We start from the raw sequence: 22,724 nt of genomic DNA, 5'->3' as shown, positions 1-22,724 counted from the left end.
ACTGCTTCCTCCTGATTAGAAGGGAGGCTGTAATTAAACTTTTTTAAACTTTTTTTTTTTTTGAGTTCTGGTGATTGTTCTCCAGTACTAGTTTCCTTGACTACAAGTTATTGAAGGCAGTTGATGTTACTTTTCTAATATTAGCATTTAAATTTTACCTACAATATTATGCTAACACTTACTTGAGAGGCCAGGACATCCTGTAAATGAATCACCAGATTCTGAAATCAGCTTTGACCAAAATGAGAATCACACTGTTTGTATTAAAAGCAACTGGAAAGACTATCCTCTCAGTGATGATTTCTATAGTTCGTTACTAGAGAAGTTTCTCTAAACATGTAGAGAGCATCAGAAACCACAAAAAAGAGGTGCAGCGGTCTCTCCTGAGTGTGAAGCTGGCTCTTGGTATTGCTTCTTGGTTCTTCTCTTCCTTTGGGAGAGTAAGAGGAAGAGGATGCAGTCTTAGTAGTTTCCCTTAAAAAAAAAAAAAAAAAAAAGCAACTGGAGCCAGGCTCTCTGGTATATATGATTAGCCATGCATTTGTGAAGTGCTTTTCACAGATAGGGCCTAAAGAAAGGGACTGGACATATGCTTTTCTCAAACATCTAGTGGGCATCAAGATTGAGACAGGAAGCTTGTTTTATCCAGGCTCCTAATGCATCCCTGGCTTTGGGTCTCTGTTTTTTAGACAGTACATCTTGCCAGTCTCCAAATCCTTTTGAGAAGAAGGTAATAACTAAATAAATACGATGTGAAATACAACGTAAAAGTACGGTCAGTTAATTGTGTCCTTATAAGAATATTACCCTTAAATGCTGTTTGTAACATACATGTGGGTCTCTATGTATTTCAGTCTTAGCCTCATTTTCAGACTTAAGAATAGTCTGCATTTCAGAAAATGTAGGTACAGAGCAAAGCTCCTTGTGGAAAGAGAACTATTAAGCTCTGTTGTTTATGATTTGCCTTGATGGAATGCACAGGAAGTAGATAACTCTCCTAACCCAACTGCCCAGGTGGCTCTGGCTCCCATTTTAGGAGAAAGAAAGTAAGAGAAATTCAAAGCTAACCTAAAACTTACAGTCTATCTTCATCCTAGTTCATGCCCATGTTGGGGTTCTTTGAACTGGCCCCAGATTATAGTGGGCCCAACATGGCGTGGTCCTCCCAACAGCCTGGTCCTCCCTTCCCCAGATATTCTGAGCAATTTGCAGGTTAGCCTGCATGCCACCACCATTGATTCACTGCTCGGGCAGGGTGGAAACGAAGAAATCTTGTTCTGTGGTTCCCAAAGCTTCTCTAAATACTTCTGCCTAATACTTGGTTTCTGCTTCATTTAGGTTTTAGAAAATCAGGCCAAGTGAACTGTATTTTTTTCTTTCATTTTTAGTTTGCTTTATGTCAGCAAAAATTCTCTAATATCTCCTCTGCATTTTACTGTAGAGTAAGCTTCTCTAGCTGTTTATTGAGATTAAGGTTTAAGCCTAGAAATTTGATTTTGGTTAAATTAATAGCTTGTGGAAACAATGCCCTCTTTTACTTTAGATCTTGAATTTGCAAGGAAGGAGGAAATTATTTTCAAGACTATTTTAGACTCAGCAAGTTAAAAGTGAAAGATGTGATACAAATCTCCTAAGCAATTTTCACACAATTATTTTTCTTGAAGCTAATAGGTTGATTTTTGTATTAGGAGCTTCATGGGGTTTTTTTAATTAAAAATGTTTTTAATGAGATTGCTTTCTAGACTGATGAACTCAACTTTGTTTGTAGGAGGACAAAAAATGCTTCATATGCAATTCCCAAGATCCTTATCATGAGACCCTGAATCCTGACAGCCATCTCATTGAAAATGTGGTCACTACATTTGCTCCAAACCGCCTTAAGATTTGGTGGCAATCTGAAAATGGTATGTGGTTGGTGTGGGGACAAGTTCCGTTGAGTGTGATTGATAACTTGGGTGGAGCTTACAGGTTCCTGGGTGTTTGTAATTATGATTCACTTCTCTGTCCTGTAATTATGGCCTCTGACAGATTGACTGCCTGGAGCACTAACTTCTCTTGGTAAAATCTTATCCTTCTTCCTGAAGCATGTATTTCCTATAAGAAAGCAGTCTGTCATGCTAGACCAAAGGAGCATTTCATAGTCCTTATTCTGAGGGGCTTTTGGAGAGAATACTTGTGTGCCGGGGGCTGTCTGGGGAGGGTATGGGTACTATCTCAGGCCCTTATTCTTCCACAAAATGTAACATCTTTCATTTTGATCAATCCCAAAGGAAGGGGCAGAATCATAGCCCCCACTCCTCCCCCCACTGCCTTCCTTCATCTACAGAAAGTGTCTTGATAGTAATAGTAACACTATGAATAAGCAGCAAGATGTAATTTTTTCAAAGACTCTGTCAACATGGATATGACCCCAAGTCAAATGGTTCCTCCAGTGATTGCATGAATTACACCCTTTTTCCTGTCTTTGCTATTTGGGATTTGGTGTAATACATTCATCAAATATGATTTTACTATTGCTGTGACATGAAGCCCAGATGAGTTTCACATTTGTTTCAAACTCGAATGCTGAAATTTGGGGAATAAAGGTAGAGTTATTGTGTTCGTTAATTAACAATGTACTGTTAGATCTTTAAAATAAATAAATAAATAAGTATCCTCAAAGAAGTGAACCTAACCCTGGCCGTTAAAAAGCCTGGAGACTACTAGATTTCTTTATTCTATGCAGTACACCTGGGCAGGCTTTGGATGCCGCTGCAGCCATCTATCATTCTGTAAAGACAAACGCCCTTAATAGATTTCTTTGTCATTGACTGTTTGTTTGTTTGTTTGTTTATTTTTGAGGCAGAGTCTCCCTCTTTCACCTAGGCTGGAATGCAATGGCGCAATCTCAGCTTACTGCAACCTCCACGTCCTGGGTTCAAGTGATTCTCCTGCCTCAGCCTCCTGAGTAGCTGGGATTACAGGCACATGTCACCACGCCCAGCTAATTTTTTGTATTTTTAGTAGAGGTGGGGTTTCACGGTGTTAGCCAGGGTGGTCTCAATCTCCTGACCTCGTGATCCACCCGCCTTGGCCTCCCAAAGTGCTGGGATTACAGGTGTGAACCACCACGCCCAGCCATCGACTGTTAAATTGCAATATTTTCTAGACTATTGGTTTCTAAGGAGAGTTGGTTTGTTCATTGGTTGGCCTTGGCAATTCATTGGTTACAAACTTCATTGGGTCATCAGAAAGCATTTATCATTTAGAGCCATGTTCATTCTTACGGGGGCATATTTTGGTTGATACTTCAGTGTGAAAGAGAAGTTTCTGTAAATCTGCAGTGTACCCCGAGGACTTCTGAAACAGCAGCAAGCTTATTATGAACAAAGACTAGGAACATTTCCTGATCTCCCACATTCTTCTAGTGAAAGACCGTTTGAAGAAGATGCCTCAACATTAGGATGGAGACTGTCCCCATTTTAGTCAGCAGACAGTGAAACAGTTTATCATGTGCTGTAGTTCTAGAGGAAGGTTTTTCTTAGTTATGTCGAGTTAATCAACTTCTACAACTTTGAATCTCTGGGACAAAAGAGACCAGATGCCAGAAAGAAGAGATTTTCCAGTAGAGGGGCTTGAGTTCTCTGTCACTCTGTCACAAGAGATTAGATGAGATTAGACTGATGGAACTTAGTCTTTAGAAAGTCAGACTGATTGTTACTATACCCTATCATCTCTCTGTTGTCTGATCACAGTTTAAGAGTTTATGAATGTGATTTTATCTATTTTCTGTGTGTTGTGCACAAGTTGTGCTTATACGTGGCGGGGCTAAATTATCAGTGTCCAGGCACAGAAACGAGCTTGGAATGTACGACTATTTTTACCCATCGTGATGATCTCTTCCTAGGTCTGACAGAAATCAAATACACTATAGAAGAATGACCTTGTTTCTTTTCTCTGTGGATTTTTCTTCCCATATAAAAAAAAGCCTGTAGTGCTTTATCAGGTTATAAATCTAAATGGAATGTGCTTTTGGTGCACACATTGCAGCATATGTTCTTAGGTTACAGAAATGGCACTAGTCTTGCTTTGCACTTTACATTATTTTGTTATCTCTTAATTTTGAACAAATATTGTAGGTTTTTAAAAGCCTGGAAGAGGAGAGATGTACAGTTGCCTAACATTTCACTCAAAAATAAATGCCCAGTGTAGTTCTGTAATATGGTTCTTTTTGATAAGTTAGGTAAGATTAGTTAGTGTGAATATAATGTTTTTCTTTTAACATTCCAGCTAACTCATATCCGTTCCAATGACCACTTTCCTCACCCCCCGCCCCCTCAATTGACTTGGCAATTTTCCAGCAAGAGTTTATTTCAAAAGGTCCTCCTGATTTCCTGAAAATACACCAGTCTGTGACATGATTCATTCTGACACATTCCTGTCTTTCCGCATTTAAGACTTCTTTTGCTCTCAAGATGGACCCCAAAAGCTCTCTCAAACACAAGAAGCGTGGCAAGCCTCCCTTGCTGAACAGGCAGGCTTGAGAGCTCTAGGGACTGGGGAGGAGGTGCTTTCCATCTCTGGAATTCCAGTGGCCTTTTTAACGTGTTTAAGTGAGACTGACTGACCCTCAGGGCAAGGGTGCAAAGGCTCATTTGTTTGTTCAGGCTTTCCCCTGAAAGAGAAGATGTTAGTATTTGTTCTGAGCCAGTTTATTTGACAGATTCTTTTTTTCTCTGGCGTTGTTTTTCATTGTGGAAATGCATCCAAAGGTTTCCCCATCAGGGATAGGTTTTTCTAAGTTGTGGTATAACTAACATATGTGGTAGACTCTTATTTATTTTCTTTGCTGCTGCATAGAGAAAAAGGAATATTTGTGTTTCTACTGGAGGAGGATTGTGTCCTTGTGCATCAGACTGCAAGCTGACCCCCTACTGTGCACAGGAAGTGCCCCTCCCTTTTTTCCTTTGAGAGCAGCTTGGCTTAGAGGGTTGGGAAGATGTTTCACTTCTGGCTAGGCAAAGGATGTCTTTCTTGACAGCAGCTAGAGGCACTCTGCCAGATGTCTTGTTCCAGTGAGCAGATTCAATCTGTTGAACTCCAGAATGATTTGTGGAAAACTAAAGAATCATTCAACTTGTGCTTTACCACCTAAATAAGCCCATGGGATTATTATTTAGTTTCAGCTTCAGCTTAAGGTAGAATGCGAGGATAATTTCTATGGGGAACATAAAAGTAATTTAAAAAATAGTCTCAACTATTCACAGATGTTTCTATTTACAGTTTCATTTATTGTTTTATTTTTTTTAAATCTCCTGTAGGTGTGGAAAATGTAACTATCCAACTGGATTTGGAAGCAGAATTCCATTTTACTCATCTCATAATGACTTTCAAGGTAAGAAATCCATGACTTTCTCACAAATGACACATGAGAGCACTGTGTAATGTCCCCTTTCAAAATGGATGTCAGATGTGAGTTGACCTAAATGGGAACTTAAATATTATTGTTGCCATAAATTGGGGTAATTGAGCAGTTTTTAAAACGAGCATGAATAACTGCATTTAACAAATACTCTATCTTCATGACAATAAGTAGAAAGAGCCTCTATTCTAAGGTAATTCAACTGTAAACTTTTAATTAGGTATCTTTTTATTTCCCCATAGAGTAAGGCAGTGTTGACCCTTTTCCAAACCGCAATAAAACATCTGGAGAGTAAATCCCTGGTCCCTTGTGTTTCTGTTTTAATACTGACTTTGGTAACTGGAAAGGAAGTGTGTTCTCTTTGGTTTTCAGAGTTTTGCACAATTTGTGAGCAGATTCAATCTGTTGAACTCCAGAATGATTTGTGGAAAACTAAAGAATCATTCGACTTGTGCTTTACCACCTAAATAAGCCCATGGGATTATTATTTAGTTTCAGCTAAATAATAGCTTAAGGAACAGTTTTACAGTTCCTTAAGAAATGTGTAATGCCTTCTTAAATGTGGATTTTCTCATCATTTTTCTTTGAGAGATGTAAAATGACTCCAGAACTAGGGAATGTCTCTGTACAAAGTCCCTTTGTTTCTTCTTAAGCAGCTGCCTGGAAATGACAGGCTTCACATGGCTTAAAGTACACATTGGCTCACAGAAAACCCATAATTTAGTTATTGCTTCTCAGATTAAAAATCACTTTTGAATAGCTTTCAGTTGGAGTTGGGAACCTTATCTACACCCTCTCAGGATAGGAAAAGGTGCCAAGGATAGATTTACCATGTGGGCGGGTAGCCATGAAAGTCTCACTGTCTCTGCCACCAAAGTGGGAGGCCAAGGAGCTAGGGTGGGTGTGGGAGTCAGAATGCAACTAGGAGGGATGCTGGGCTGTGCCTCTGAGCCTTTATCCCCTTGCCCACTCCCCAGCAGCCTGCTGTTCCTGCTGGAGCAGGAAGGTGGGCACTGTGACTGTGACACCTGGTATTGAGAGTGGTGGGGAAGGTTTCACTAAATAAATTGTCAACTACTCCTTGTCACCAACCGCTTGTCCCTTCATTGACCACACAATCTGGTGATTAAACTGATGCTCATCGGCCTACAAGGATGTTACCTTTATGTTATGTGACACCTGAGAATACTCAAAATCATCTTTATTAATGTTTATGATCCTATTTTTTCCTTTGCAGAGGGCATCTGTTCATATACATGGATAGTTCTGAGTTCATCTAGATCCAAAATCCTTTAGGCACATGTTTTGTAGTTGAATACTCATTCAGGTGAATACAGTGGGAGAAAGATGAACTTACTTGTGTAGGCGCAGAAGGTAAAACGGGGGTGATGATTGAACTGAGACATGCAGAATGGCTACAAGTTGGGGCCAGGCGTGGTGGCTCACACCTGTAATCCCAGCACTTTGGGAGGCCAAGGCGGGCAGATCACTTGAGGTCAGGAGTTCAAGACCAGCCTGGCCAATACGGTGAAACCCCGGCTCTACTGAAAATACAAAAATTAGCCAGGCGTGGTGGCACGCGCCTGTAGTCCCAGCTACTTGGGAGGCCGAGGCAGGAGAATCGTTTGAACCCTGCAGGCGAAGGTTGCAGTGAGCCGAGATCATGCCACTGCACTCCAGCCTGGGTGACAGGGTGAGACCCTGTCTCGAGAAAAAGAATAGGTACAAGTTATCACACTGGTTTATGAGAAAACAACTCATCCTTCGGGTCCTAGCTCCAGTGAGAAAAGCAACATCTATGGGGTTGGGTACATTGGGTGTGAATCCCTGCCTGCTCCTTCTTGGCATGTGTGGCCAGAGCTGTGACTTCCTCATTGGTAAATGGGAAGAGGAATAATACCTACATCATAGGACATAGGACAGAATGGTGATGTTCTCCTGTTCCCCTCTGTTTTTTGTTTTTTAAATACTGAGTCTTGCTCTATTGCCCAGGCTGGAGTGCAGTGGTGCAATCTTGGCTCACTACACCCTCCGCCTCCTGGGTTTAAGCAATTCTCCTGCCTCAGCCTCCTGAGTAGCTGGAACTATAGGCACATGCCACCACACCTGGCTAATTTTTGTATTTTTGGTAGAGGCAGGTTTCACCATGTTGGCCAGGCTGGTCTCGAACTCCTAACCGCAAGTGATCCTCCCACCTTGGCCTCCCAAAGTGCTGGGATTACAGGCGTGCCTACCGCGCCTGGCCTGTTCCCTTCTGTTCTGGGAACTGGGATAATCTTGTTGCCCTGGCGGATAGTGGGAACCTGAAAGTCTTTATAAATGCAGATGCTTGGCATATAGTAATTGCTCTACAAATGTTTACTGAATGAAAGAATAAGTGGATAAATGAATTCAACCATCTTCTGTTTGTAAGAAACTACCCTACTTTAAGCCTTATGGGAAATTGTAAAGATAGCACAGTGACTGCCCTCCAGGAGCTTCCAGTCTTCCAGAGGAGAAAGATATACTTGCAAATAACTTACAGTATGTGACAGAATGTGCTAATGACTACAACAGAAGTTCAGACAATCTTTGTTAGCCTGGAGGAGGGTGAGATTAATTTTAGCCTGGAATAAAGAAGAAACCTAGGACTGGGACTGCACTTGACCTGGGCCAGGAAGGGAGAGCAGGGATGTCAGTGGGAGGAGATGGAAGAAAGGCCATTCATGGCCGGAGGGAAACAGTCTGAGAGCAAGGCACTGGTGGTGGGACAGTGGGTCAGGATTTGCTCAGCAAGTGCTATGTAGATTTGCCTCGAGTTTGGGGTAGTGAGAGAAGGAAAGGAAAGGAAAGTAGAAAAGCAGATTAGATGCAAAGGACATTGACTCCTTGCTAGGGAGTGTGAACTTTATAAGAAATAGGGAGCCATTACAACTGATGAATCTTAGAAATTCTTTTTTTTTTTTTTTTTTTTTGAGACGAAGTCTCGCTCTCTCCCAGGCTGGAGTGCAGTGGCGCGATCTCAGCTCACTGCAAGCTCCACCTCCCGGGTTCAAGCGATTCTTCTGCCTTAGCCTCCCGAGTAGCTAGGATTACGGGCATGTGCCACCATGCCCAGCTAATTTTGTATTTTTAGTAGAGACAGGGTTTCACCATATTGGCCAGGCTGGTCTTGAACTCCTGACCTCATGATCTGCCCGCCTCGGCGTCACAAAGTGCTGGGATTACAGACGTGAGCTACCGCGCCCAGCCTAATCTTAGAAATTCTTTTAGTAATTTTTTTTTTTTTTTTGAGGATGGAGTTTCACTCTTGTTGCCCAGGATGGAGTGCAGTGGCACGATCTTGGCTCACTGCAGCCTCTGCCTCCTGGGTTCAAGCAGTTCTCCTGCCTCAGCCCCCCAAGTAGCTGGGATTACACGCATGTACCACCACACCCGGCTACTTTTGTATTTTTAGTAGAGACGGGGCTTCACCATGTTAGTCAGGCTGGTCTCAAACTCCTGACCTCAAGTGATCCACCTGCCTCTGCCTCCCAAAGTGCAGGGATACAAAAGAGGCATGAGCCACTGTGCTCAGCCTCTTTTTTGTATTTTTAATAAGAAATGAATGATCATTTCTTGCCAAAATTTGCCACTATGAGGTGATTGCAATAATTCTGTTGCAAAAACATTAACATTTAGTATGAGTCTTTTTTACTGTATTCTTGCAGTTAATAACTGCTGCTATCATGTTATTTTGTGCTTTATTTTTGTTTATGCCAGTCTTAAAGATCCAGATTTCTGAATCTTTTAAAAAAAATTAATACCAAAAAAAAATTGGGAACCATTGACAAGAAAATGAGACCTGTGTTTCAGGAAGGTAGCCCAAGAGGAAATACAAAGCAAGGACTGGGATGGCGAGAATAAAGGGCATGTTGGGAGGCTCTGTTGATGTCAGCATTGATGAAGCATTAATGGAGGGTTACTGCTAATGCAAAAACTGGCTGTGATTCTTAAGTAGGAGGGAGCCTTTTCCTGCAACCCAGGAGTCCTGTAAGAATATCTTAGAAAGCTTTTTCAAATCCCATGTGTCCACTCACTGCCATACTCTGATACTCTCTGCTGTTAACTGCCTTTGAGGATCATTGCCAAGATGAGGTGCCCCTGTTTTCTAAGGGCAGTCATTTGGATACTTTAAAATCAAAAGCTGAACCATGAAATGGAGAAAGATTAGAAGCAGAACAGTGGAAGGAAAGGGCTGAATCAAAAATTACTTAGGGCTGCTCTGCTTATGGAGTAGCCATTCTTTTCTTCCTTTACTTTCTTAATAAACTTGCTTTCACTTAAAAAAAAATTAGTTAGTCAAGTGAAATAACTAGGAAGATGGTGAAGCCACTGACAGTAGTGAAATCAGGAAGAGAACTGAGGTTGTTGATTTTTTTCCCCCAAGTTCGCCATAGAGATGGCTAATTGCTAAGTGGATTTAGACTAGCAAAAGCTCATTTAGCATGTACACAGTATGTTTTTCTATATTACTAGATGTTTCAAAACTCATAACTCTTGGCCAGGCATAGTGGCTCATGCCTGTAATCCCAACACTTGGGGGTGCTGAGGTGGGGGGATCGCTTGAGCTTCAGGAGTTCAAGACCAGCCTGGACAGCATAGCAAGACCCTGTCTCTACAAAAAATTAAAAAATTAGCCAGGCATGGTGGCACACGCCTGTAGTCCCAGCTACTCAGGAGGCTGAGGTTGGAGGATTGCTTGAGCCCGGGAGGTCAAGGCTGCAGTGAACTATGATTGTACTAGTGCACTCCAGCCTGGGCAACAGAGCAAGACTCTATCTCAAAAAACAAAACAAACAAACAAAAAAAAACACAAAAAACTCATAGGTCTTTTGTTTATTATAAATTTGGAGGCAACTGTGCAGCAATGGCAGGCCTGGGAAGGTTGATGACTAAGCAGAGAGTATGGAAAGGATTCTATTCGTTAGGTAAAATGTGTTGTTCTGGTTTCCAGCAGCTTCTTAACTCCACGGGAAATTGGATGACTCGTCAATGGTCCTTTGGGACTTAAAAGTTTCCAAAAGAGAGGGAGAAGGAAGCACAGCCAGAAATGGCTTTCACAGAGCCATTGGCACAGAGAAGTCCGATTAGACCTTCCCCTCTCTTCCTCTCCCCAAGCCTCCCAGCCAGGCTCTCACGGGGAGTTTGCCATGGTACGTGGCACACATGGTTCAGTTAGTCCTTAGGGATTTTTCTCTCTTACTTTAAAATTCTTAGGCTGATATTCTCTTGAGTTGAATACGGTATCATTTTCTTATATTCCTGGGTAGGTGAAAAATAAACCTAAGCAGCTAGTGAGTGAATAAGTCAAAGAATCTGTCAAAATGTAATTGTCCATGTTCTTATCCTTGACATCTTTTATCAGAGAAAAAGCTCAGCAGGATTATTAAGGAGGGCTAAAGGAAGCCTAAGCATGTTTCTAGTTTTCACCATTAACCCTCACCCAAATTTCTGTCAAGCGTTGGTTTTAATTCGGAAGTAAGTGTCTTTATTTAGGTTCTGTTTTCTAGGTCAGCTGAAATTTCCTTTGATCTTTTTCCCTTGTAATCTGACTTCCAATTCCCCAAAATGCATCACTGTGTTGGTTAGTGTCAAAACCTTTGCCTGTTTGCCTATTTTTCAGCGCTCTTTCTGCTTCATCTTTTACTTCCAGTTGACCCTGTTCACTACACCCTCCTAAATCTCCCTCCTGCCTTGGTTTCAGAAGACTGCCTTTTTTTCTCTTTTCCCTCTGACACTCATTTTTCAGTCTTCTGTGCCTTCAGCCAGTGAGGGAGAAAGATAGGAATGGATTTGAATCTAAGCTCTGCCTGTAACTAGCAAGTCAGTGTCTCCGAGCCTCAATTTTCTCATTTGTCAGACAAATGTGTTGTGAGGGTGCCTTGGTTTCCTAGGGATGCCATAACAAAGTGTCACGGACTGGGTGGCTTAAACAACAGAAATGTGTCTTCTCACAGTTCCATAGGCTAGGAATCTCAGGGTAAGGTGTTGGCAGGGTTGGTTTCTGCTGAGGCCTCTCTCCTTGGTTCGGGATGGCTGTCTTCTCCCTGTGTCTTCACATGGTCTTCCCTCTGTGCATGTGTGTGTCCTCATCTGTTCTTATAAGGACACCAGACATATGATTACAGCCCACCCTCATGACCTCATTTAACCTTAATCACCTCTTTAAAGAGCCCATCTCCACATCTAGTGACCTGAAGTATGGAGTTAGGTCTTCAGCATATGAAACTTGCAGACACACAAATCAGCCCAAATTATAGAGAGTTAAAGTAAAGAATGTAATGAGGGGTACTGGCACCACTCTGTTTTCCTTGTCTAGCCCCTGGTTGATACGTTTTTCTAGAGCACAGACTTAGGCTCTCTTTATCTTACCCATTCCTTTTTTCTTTTTTTTTGTTTGAGACATCATATACTTGGAGGTTTCAAATATGTGTGTGCAGTGACTCCCAAATTCATGTTTCAAGCTCCATTCTTGCAGCTGAGTGCCAGACCACTTTTTCCAAGTGTCTGATGGGTGTCTCCAAGTGGACATCACACATGTGACTAATTAGCCTACAACCAAATGCTTTCACGCCTCTTCCACGTTGTCGTCATTGGCAACACAGCTACCTGGCTACCCAAGTTCAGGTGCCTGTATTTCTTTCCTCACCCTGCCTTTTCCACTACAATCTAATTGATCACCAAGTGTAATTCAATAGAGTCTTCTGTCACTAAATTTTCAGAGTGGTCAGTTCCATCCCTTTCTATCTACATTGTAATTTCTCAGGTTAAAACCGTCATCTTTTTTCTTTCACTTGGTTTTCCTGTGTTTTGTATCATCCATGTCCAGTAACTACCACAAGAGTTATTTTTCTAAAGTGCAATCTGATCATTTCATTTGTCCACTTAAATTTTTTAGTGTTCTCTTTTCCTTGCAAAAACGTAAGTCCCTTAGCATGGCAACTTCTTACCTGCCCCGACCAACCTCTTCTGCCACGTGCAGCCGCCTCCACCCACTGCCTGGAAAACACCTTGTTGCCCTTTTAAGATCCAGTTTGGCCCAGGCGCGGGGGCTCACACTTGTAATCCCCTCACTTTGGGAGGCCAAGGCAGGTGGATCACCTGAGGTCAGGAGTTCTAAACCAGCCTGGCCAACATGGTGAAACCCCATCTCTACTAAAAAATAGAAAAATTAGCCAGGCGTGGTGGTGCGTGTTTGTAATCCCAGCTACTCGGGAGGCTGAGACAGAAGAATTGTTTGAACCCAGGAGGCGGAGGATGCATTGAACTGAGATCGTGCCACTGCACTCCAGCCTGGGCCACAGCGAGACTCTGCCTCAAAAAAAGATCCAATTTGATGCCTTCTTCTCTGTGAAGTATTCCTAGCTTTTTTTTTCTTGGCAGTAAAATATCCATAACAGAAAGTTTACCATTTTAACCATTTTTAAGTGTATAAATCAATGGTGTTAGGTATAGTCACAATGTTGAGCAACCACTAAGACTGTCTATTTCCAGAACTTTTTCATCACCCCAAACAGAAATTCTGTGGCCACTGTCCCTCTGCCCAGCCCCTGGTAACTGCTAATCAACTTTGTGTCTCTGTCTACTTAACCAATTCTAGGTATTTCATACAAGTGGAATCACACAATATTTGTCCTTTTGTGTGGCTTATTTCTCTTAGCATAATGCTTTCAAGGTTCATCCATGTTGTAGCATGTATTGGCATTTCATTCCTCTTTATGGCTGAGTAATATTTCACAGCATGTATATATCATATTTTGTTTATCTTCATCAGTTGATGGGTACATGGGTTGTTCCCGCCTTCTGGCTATTGTGAATAATACTGCTGTGGTGAACATTCATGTACAAGTGTCTGTTTGAGTTCCTGTTTTCAATTCTTCCGGGTGTATACCTAATAATGTGGAATTGCTCGATTTTCCAGCTTCTTGAGTTATTAATTTCTTCCTCTTGCTTTTCCAAAGCACATTGCATGCAACCCTACTATGGTGTTTGACATAGCATATTGCAAATTATTGACACCCATATCTGCACCTCATTGGACTGTGTATAACATATACAACATATAGTCCACTGGCTGATACTAAGGAGGTAGTCATACCTTTATTGAATGATTAAATGAACGAATGAAGGAACGAGCACTCAAACTTGCCACTCATATTACAGTGGACATGGTGACTAAATATACGAAAGTGTGTTTGCTATTTAGGCCTGTTTATAATCAGCTTCTAAAGAGAAACAGTTTACTTATCCAGTAGGGTGGGGAAAAGTATACATTTTAGAGGTTAGACATTTTCCTTGCAAGAAGAGTCTCTGTGGAACAGCTTGAATTATTTGAAATCCAGCCACAGTCTGAAATACAAACCATATGCAGTTCAAGTTTGTGGCATGCAGTTGAGTGACATTTTTACCTGAGATTAAAAAAAGTAGAGACTACCAATAAAAAACATCAAATGAGATTTTTGCTCCTGCCTTTAGACATTCCGTCCAGCTGCTATGCTGATAGAACGATCGTCCGACTTTGGGAAAACCTGGGGTGTGTATAGATACTTCGCCTATGACTGTGAGGCCTCGTTTCCAGGCATTTCAACTGGCCCCATGAAAAAAGTCGATGACATAATTTGTGATTCTCGATATTCTGACATTGAACCCTCAACTGAAGGAGAGGTTTGTTTGCTTCTGTGTTTTACATTCTACTTGCAAATCTACTTTTTGATTATTGCAGAAGTACCAATTACTCTTGTTTCCATTTTTAGGTGATATTTCGTGCTTTAGATCCTGCTTTCAAAATAGAAGATCCTTATAGCCCAAGGATACAGAGTAAGTTCATTTTCAAACAAAAGTGTTTTTTGTTAGTTTGTTTGTTTGTTTTGTTTTGTTTTTTGAGACAGAGTTCCGCTCTTGTTGCCCAGGCTGGAGTGCAATGGTGCGATCTCTGCTCATTGCAACCTCCGCCTCCCGGGTTCAAGTGATTCTCCTGCCTCAGCCTCCTAAGTAGCTGGAATTACAGGCATGTGCCACCACGCCCAGCTAATTTTGTATTTTTAGTAGAGACGGGGTTTCTCCATGTTGGTCAGGCTAGTCTTGAACTCCCAACCTCGGGTGATCTGCTCACCTCAGCCTCCCAAAGTGCTGGGATTACAGGCATGAGCCACCACGCCTGACCCAAATAAAATTTTTTGTTTGTTTGTTTTGTTTTGTTTTGTTTTTTTGAGATGGAGTTTCACTCTTATTGCCCAGGCTGGAGTGCAGTGGCGCGATCTAGGCTCACTGCAACCTCTGCCTCCCAGGTTCAAGTGATTCTCCTGCCTCAGCCTCCCGAGTAGCTGGGATTACAGGTGCCCGCCACCATGCCCAGCTAGTTTATTTTTGTATTTTTAGTAGAGACGGGTTTTCACCATGTTGGCCAGGCTGGGTCTCGAACTCCTGACCTCAGGTGATCCACCCGCCTCAGCCTCCCAAAGTGCTGGGATTACAGGCGTGAACCAGCGCGCCTGGCCCAAATAAAAGTTTTGATGGTAAACAGCAGCCATGGAATAAGTCTTACTCAGAATCTAAATATTCAGTGCTAAATCTACCTTTTTCATTTTCCTTCTTTCTCTGTGTTACCTGACCAGAGGGTCTTGAAATTAGCAATAATTACTCTCCACTGATAGGGAATACATTTACATCTGATATAAGATGTAAATACAATACATCCGATATAAGATTGATAGGTTATCAAGTAATTGTGTTGATCATAATACCTTATTTTATTGCTCAGTATATTAGGGTATATATTGGGCTTTTGTATCAAAGAGTCTCCCCAAATCTAGTTGTTCAAATAAGGTGAAAGTTTCTTTCTCTCTTACAAAACCCACCAAAGAGTTTTCTAGAGAAGAAGTGTAGCTCAATTGCCATAATTAAGCTTACCAGATAAAATACAGGATGATGCCCAGTTACATTTGCAAATAAATAATTCTTTTTTTTAGCATAACTATATCCCATATATCCCATATAATATTTGTGACTAGTACAAGTGTGTCTCATGCAATATTTGTGGTTGGTATAACCATGTCCTATGTGATATTTGAGACATACTTTATCCTAAAAAATAGTTGTTTATCTGCAATTCAAATTTAACTGAGTGTCATTTATATTTACTTGTTAAATCTGGCAACCCTAGTTATAAGGCCATCCATGTTTCCAGGTTTATTCACATGGTTAGAGTTAGACCACCACCACTATGTCCTCACCTCAACTCGGGAGAAGAGGGAAGACGAGGCAAGCAAATTCCATTTAAAGATGAGACATGGGCCAGGCGTGGAGGCTCACTCCGTAATCCCCAGCACTTTGGGAGGCCAAGGCAGGCGGATCACTTGAGGTCAGGAATTCGAGACTAGCCTGGCCAACATGGTAAAACCGTGTCTCTACTAAAAATATAAAAATTAGCTGACATGGTGGCATATGCCTGTAATCCCAGCTACTCAGGAGGCTGAGGCAGGAGAATCGCTTGAACCCAGGAGGTGGAGGTTGCAGGGAGCCAAGATCGTGCCACTGCACTCCAGCCTGGGTGACAGAGCAAGACTCTGTCTCAAAAAAACAAAAAAATGAGATGTGGAAGTTGCACACGTCACTTCTGCTCACATCTCATTGGCCAGAATTAGTCACGTGGCTATACTGCAGGAGACACTGGGAAACATCTCTAGGTGTTTCATGTGCTCTACTAACACTCTTGGCGAGGGCTCTTACTGTCAAAGGAACAAGGGAAGAAAGAATACTGAAGAGAAATCAGAAGTCTCTGCCATTCTCAATATACTCAATAAAATGAGGGTTGCATTTCCGTTTAATAGAAAAATAAGCTGAAGCTTATAGAGTTGGATGTTATTACGTAAAGTGATATGGCTATTAAATGGCAGTCAGATCTTGAATCCATATGTTACGGTGCTCAGTTCAGAGCTCTTTACCACATTCAACAACTGCTCTTATTACACAATTACATTTTAATCTTCTTGGGAGGCATGTATGGTAATTAAAAGAATGGGCTCACTGGGCGCGGTGGCTCACACCTGTAATCCCAGCACTTTGAGAGGCCTAGGCGGGTGGATCACGAGGTCAGGAGTTTGAGACCATCCTGACCAACATGGTGAAACCCCGTCTCTACTAAAAATAGAAAAGTTAGCCAGGTATGGTGGTGCGTGCCTGTCGCTTGAACCCGGGAGGCAGAGGTTGCAGTGAGCTGAGATCACACCATTGCACTCCAGTCTGGGTGACAGAGCAAGACTCTGTCTCAAAAAAAAAAAAAAAAAAAAAAAGGGCTTTGGAGTCACAAAGTCCTGGATTTAAATGTGTTCATAAATCATAAATGTGTTCAGTACATCAAAGCTGTTGCTACATTTGTTGCTGTTGATGTTGCTGTGACTATCAGCTTTGGTTTGGGTTTTGCACAGGACTAGTTCCAAATGTTGGAATGAAAGGTGAGCCTGCCTCTCCTGCTACTAAGGTGCAACCAGTTGAGTAGAGGCGGGGCTGATTCTTGCTGATCTTTCCCAGCTGCACAAGGCCCTATTTTTAACCAAGGCCCCAAAAAACTTCCAAGCTTGAAGCAAGGAAGAGTGGAGTGGAAGAAGTCCAGGGAATATTGCCAGAAAAATGCTGCTTCCCCATTTAAATTAATTTTACATGTGGCCCAGCCTGTCTCTGGTCTGTAATTTACTCATTCATTCTCTTGTAAAACAAATATTTAATAGATGTGTCCAGCTCTGTGCCAATTTCTGAGTGAGCCATGAGGCCTTTCCTGCATGTCTCAAAATGCAGTTATGAAAAACGTCCACAAGGGCTCTGGGACAGACACCCCCTAAGTCCCTAAAAGGACTCAACCATCTGCTCCCTTTAAGGTGAAATTTGTGGGACTTGGAGGATGTGTTGTCTTTATAATTTTGATTCTTTTGTCTTTTGTGGTTAAATGACATCGGAGAATCTTTTTCTATGTTACGGAAGCATGCATGTTAGCTGATCATGCATTTGATTTACTTTGTAATCAAGGGAGCAATATCTCTTTAGTTGTCTATTGTTGAGACCTGAGACTCACTTCAAAAGTGATTTGCCACTTAGAATAGCAGTCAAGATGAGGCTCGCTTTTTAAATATGGCAGGAGAGAGTGGGGGGAGCATATTTGCTCTACTGAGGGGTTTCCACAAAGGTCAGTTCAAGGGTTTCTAAATACTCCAGCTGCTCTTCAAGTTTGTTGTTTGGCCTCTTGTCAATAGGCGCTTGTGCTCATTTTGTGCAGGAGGATTTGTGCAGGAGAAAATGTTGGCGTTCATAACTGCCATTCAGTTGGGGAGTACCACGGTTTCTCTGTTTAGTTTTTGATTTTACAAAGAACCTAAGTTTAACACATGGACTTTTCCTTTCTACCCGCAGCCATTTCTATAGCTTCATTGTAAGCTATGCATGTATTAAAAGCATTTGAAATTGTATTTGGGCTGTGAAAATATCTGATGTACTGGGCCACTACCCTGTTGTCTTATGTTGTAATTTATAAGAATGCACAGACATAAATGACAGTAAAGAACCGTTTCAGGCTACAGAGCTTGAGAGTGCAGACAGATGAATCAATCTCTGGGGATCCAGTTCAGCATGAAGAACTTAGTAACTCACGAAAACCCCGTGGAGAAGGTTGAATGGCTCTTCGTTTGTCTAGTTACTATAGAATGAATTGGTAGCCCAGCATTTACAATAAGCAGAAGTCTGCAGACCTAGGAAGAAGAGGGAAAGATAAAATTGATTTAGAGGTAACTTGTATTTGAGAAAAAATAATTTGCCCCACATCCTAATACTAAGCTTATTTATGCTTATGTCACTATATAATATTGAGAAACGTGGAAACGTTTTGTAAAACTGGGACAAAAAAGTTGTGGACCAAAATGTTGCTTAAAAACTTGAAATGTTCTCTCCTTAGGTTGTAGTTATTCTATAGCGTTAACACTATTTTGGTAACTTGGATGTCATTTAAGCGGTGGGAAATTTCAAATTTTCCCTTCCAAAAATAGAGACAAAAATGTTTCTAACTATCTTATAATAACAATGAGAACTGGAGTGCTTTGATAAATCTTTTCCTACCTGAATGGAATTTTCTCATGTTGAAACTGACATTAATTGCTGTGGGAAGCAGATGGCATTGTGCTACTTCAAATTACTGTCTGCCCGCAGGTTCCAGCAGTCATGCAGCTGCGTTCTTATAATTTCTCCACTTTCACACTTCTTCCTAAATAGCTGTTCTGCAAACAGACCCATCACAGAATAGCTACTCTTTTTTGTTGTCGTTCAGGCAACTCTCCTGCCTCAACCTCCAGAGTAACTGGGATTACAGATGCCTGCCACCACACCTGGCTAATTTTTTTTTTTTTTTTTTAAACAGTTTTGCTCTTGTCGTTCAGGCTGGAGTGCAATGGCACAATCTCGGCTCACTGCAACCTCCACCTCCCAGGTTCAAGCGATTCTCCTGCCTCAGTCTCCCTAGTAGCTGGGATTACAGGCGGATGCCATGATGCCCAGCTACTTTTTGTATTTTTAGTAGAGATGGGGTTTCACCATGTTGGTCAAGGCTGGTTTTGAACTCCTGACCTCAGGTGATCCGCCCACCTCGGCCTCCCAAAATGCTGGGAATACAGGTGTGAGCCACCGCGCCCGGTCTAATTTTTGTATTTTTTTAGAGATGGGGTTTTGCCATGTTGGCCAGGCAGGTCTCGAACTCCTGACCTCAAGTGATCCACCTGCCTTGGCCTCCCAAAGTGCTGGAATTACAGGTGTGAGCTACCACGCCCGGCCGACATTCTTATGAAACTGATGAGAGGGCAGTAACCTTTCCTCTTTGCAGTCATGTTATGTTAGGCTTCACTATTGGAGTCATCTAGATCATACAAGAGGAGGAACTTAAGCTATTTTCATGTGTCATGCCTTTCTCTAAAAAGAAATGATGCAAGGAAAAAAAAAAAAACTTCTTGCTTGTCTGATCAGACTTTTCATCTTCTTGATGACCTTCCTAGATTTATTAAAAATTACCAACTTGAGAATCAAGTTTGTGAAACTGCATACTTTGGGAGATAACCTTCTGGATTCCAGGATGGAAATCAGAGAAAAGTATTATTATGCAGTTTATGATATGGTGGTTCGAGGAAATTGCTTCTGCTATGGTCATGCCAGCGAATGTGCCCCTGTGGATGGATTCAATGAAGAAGTGGAAGGAATGGTAAGTAAGCCCTCTGTGCACCTTTCTCCTTTATGTGGCTGGTAATAAAATGCAAAGTGAAGCTAGTCTTACCTTAAGCCTTTTACATTTTCTGGGGGTTTTAGTTTTACAGAGTTACATTTAGCCCTTTGCACCATACAGGTAGCTGATTGTTGATTTTCTCTTTGAAGAGTTTCTTGGACACGGAGAATGTACAGACTACTCATTTCATAGACGATGAATTTTTGGAATTTGTTGCTTCAGGCTATTGCTAAAGTAGATATTTTAGTCAACAAGGATTAAAAAGTTGTCTAAATAACAATTGAGTCTGCCTTTACATAGGGAAGATTAAAAACCGCAGTTATGCTAGAAGGCATAAATTGATCTCAACCCAAAGAAATGGATTTTTTTTTTTTTTTCTTGAGACAGAGTCTTGCTGTGTTGCCCAGACTGGAGTGCAGTGGTGCAATTTCAGCTCACTGCACCATCCGCATCCTGGGTTCAAGCAATTCTTGTGCCTCAGCCTCCCAAATACCTGGGATTATAGGCCCACACCACCATGTCTGGCTAATTTTTGTGTTTTTAGTAGAGGTGGGGTTTCATCATGTTGGCTAGGCTGATCTCAAACTCCTGACCTCAAGTGATCCACACACCTCAGCCTCCCAAGTAGCTGGGATTACAGGCATGTGCCACCGTATCTGGCTAATTTTGTATTTTTAGTAGAGACAGGGCTTCTCCATATTGGTCAGGCTGATCTCAAACTCCTGACCTCAAGTGATCCGCACACCTCTGCCTCCCAAAGTGCTGGAATTACAGGCGTGAGCCAATGCGCCCTGCCCACGGCTGGAAAATTTTAACCCACACCCATGGGATATCATTTTAGGGATCAAATGGAGTTGGTTTCTTTCTATCTTTTCCTCCTAATTCCATTCTTTTCCCCACTTTTATGCCACATTTGCAACTTATGTACATTTTGAAATTTGGGATTTGGGTGATTTGCCAAATGGATAGATGAGTTTATTCTATTAGTATCTAGGAGAATTCTTACAGACCTAGAGGATTTTAAGGCCAGATAGGACTTATGAGATCACCTAGACCAACTATTGGTGATAGAGCCCAAGGATTAAGTAATTTACTAGAGAGCCCTAAGTAAATGAGCAGCAGGTGGAAGCTCAAGCCTCTCCTCACTCAGCCCCAGGGTTCCTTCCCCTAAGCTGTGGCCTCCCCTCATGAAGGCTGTGCTTATGTGCTGTTGCCTTTTCAAAGATTGTTAGTCCTTAGAAGGTACAGGATTGAGTGTATTCAGCCCTTTAAAAACTTCTGCCTTCCCTTTACTCCAGTTAGAACTTTTGTTGCACAACAGAAGTTGAATTTTTGACGGAGCCTGAAGGGGAGGGAGGTATTTCTCTAATCTTATTGGTCCATCTTTCAGAATGCTAGGTAGATTATGTTCCCTTTACGGCATAACAAATCAGCTGTGTAGCTAATGTCCTGTTACTATCACGGGTCTCACAGCATGTGCTGTTGATTCAGGCCCAGTAGGGTCTTATGGTATGTGCTTTGGAACTGGTTTTCAGTTTATGTAAAACCACCTGGTAATAACAGGACTTTAGTCTTCTGCTAACTGCATTCCCACCAAGGTGGGTCCAGGAGGGACCTGTCTGTCCTGTTCCTGAATTCCATTCTGTAGAAACTCTTGTTAAGGTGAGATGCCCATATACATGCATATTTAGTGGACCAAAAGGCCGTAATTCATTTATCATTTATATGCCTCAAGGGTCGTAAGTGTGCCTTACAGTGACACAAGGCAAAATCATATATCATGGGCCTTTCATCAGGCAAATTAATATATTTCTTTTACGAGATCTTATATTTCCTTACATAAAAGGAAAACATAAATGTAAATGTGATAAATGATTAATTTTTAAAATTTTACTGTCATTGAAAGAAAAATTTAAGTGCTATGCCTGAAGTAAAAAAAACTAAAATAAGCTAGCTAACAAAAACCTTTTTAAAAAAATGGTGATTTGGCTAAGTGGTAAATCGTGCAGTAATATAAATTGGTTTCCAGGTGGTATGTATGCATTTAGTTCTACATTATAACTTTTGTAGATTTCTATTACAATAGGTTTTCTTAAAAAAATCTTAAGTAACTAGTTTTTTTTTTTTTTTTTAATTTTAAGTAATTTTCTTCATCTGGGTTCTTTTCATAGATACTCAGTAAAATATTTCTTGTGCATCCACTATGTAATAGGAACATTCTAGAGATGAGGCATGTAGCCATCAACAAGACAGACAACTCACTGCAGGCAGGGAGAAAATAAAAACAACCAAACAACCCTTTTCTGTGGTGAGCTAGAGATTAGTATGAAAAAGGGTTTTAAACTTTCAATTGATTATGGAGAAACGTGGCTATTCATACATCTCTTCCTTTGTTCTCTCCTGTTTTTATAACTTTCAAGGTTCACGGACACTGCATGTGCAGGCATAACACCAAGGGCTTAAACTGTGAACTCTGCATGGATTTCTACCATGATTTACCTTGGAGACCTGCTGAAGGCCGAAACAGCAACGCCTGTAAAAGTAAGTCTGTGTTGAAGGGACATTTTAAATCCATTCAGGCTCTAGTATCCATTTCCTAATTAGAGGTACTGTAACAGTGTACTGTTTTGCAGAGGGTAGAAAAGTTACTGTCTTTTTTCCAGCTTCACCCTGATACTCCTAGACAACCAACAATCTGCATTCAGTTAATTAATATTCACTGAACAGCCTCTGTGTGTTTGACACTGAGCTGAGTAGTTTGGCAGCTACAGTAGAAAACTAAGGTGCTGTCCTTGACATTGTATCTGTTTTGTTTTTTGGTTTTTTTTTGTCGCCTAGGCTGTAGTGCAGTGGCACAGGCGGCTCACTGCAACCTCTGCCTCCCAGGTTCAAGCGATTCTCCTGGAGTAGCTGAGATTACAGGCACGCGCCACCATGCCCTGCTAATTTTTTTTGTAATTTTAGTAGAGGAGAGGTTTCATCGTGTTAGTCAGGCTGGTCTTGAACTCCTGACCTCAAGTGATCTACCCACCTTGGCCTCCCAAAGTGCTG

General features: G+C 41.5%; 1 protein-coding gene and 1 pseudogene across 3 annotated transcripts in view; both read left to right on the top strand.

Annotated features, from left to right (window-relative positions):
• The window catches only part of LAMB1 (laminin subunit beta 1), a 79,363-nt gene that overhangs the window by 2,901 nt on the left and 53,738 nt on the right, over window positions 1-22,724 (top strand). For all 3 annotated transcript variants that reach the window (NM_002291.3, XM_047420359.1, XM_047420360.1), the window contains exons 4-9: window positions 1,769-1,904; window positions 5,301-5,374; window positions 13,898-14,086; window positions 14,176-14,239; window positions 19,450-19,652; window positions 22,094-22,214. In NM_002291.3, the coding sequence (NP_002282.2) occupies window positions 1,769-1,904; window positions 5,301-5,374; window positions 13,898-14,086; window positions 14,176-14,239; window positions 19,450-19,652; window positions 22,094-22,214 (787 nt within the window). The remainder of the gene's footprint in view (window positions 1-1,768; window positions 1,905-5,300; window positions 5,375-13,897; window positions 14,087-14,175; window positions 14,240-19,449; window positions 19,653-22,093; window positions 22,215-22,724) is intronic.
• On the top strand, window positions 279-470 carry LOC124901861 (uncharacterized; annotated as a pseudogene).

This window comes from Homo sapiens, chromosome 7, assembly GCF_000001405.40.
Source record: "Homo sapiens chromosome 7, GRCh38.p14 Primary Assembly".
Classification (NCBI taxonomy): Eukaryota; Metazoa; Chordata; class Mammalia; order Primates; family Hominidae; genus Homo; species Homo sapiens.
This window is presented reverse-complemented; position numbering and strand designations above follow the sequence as displayed.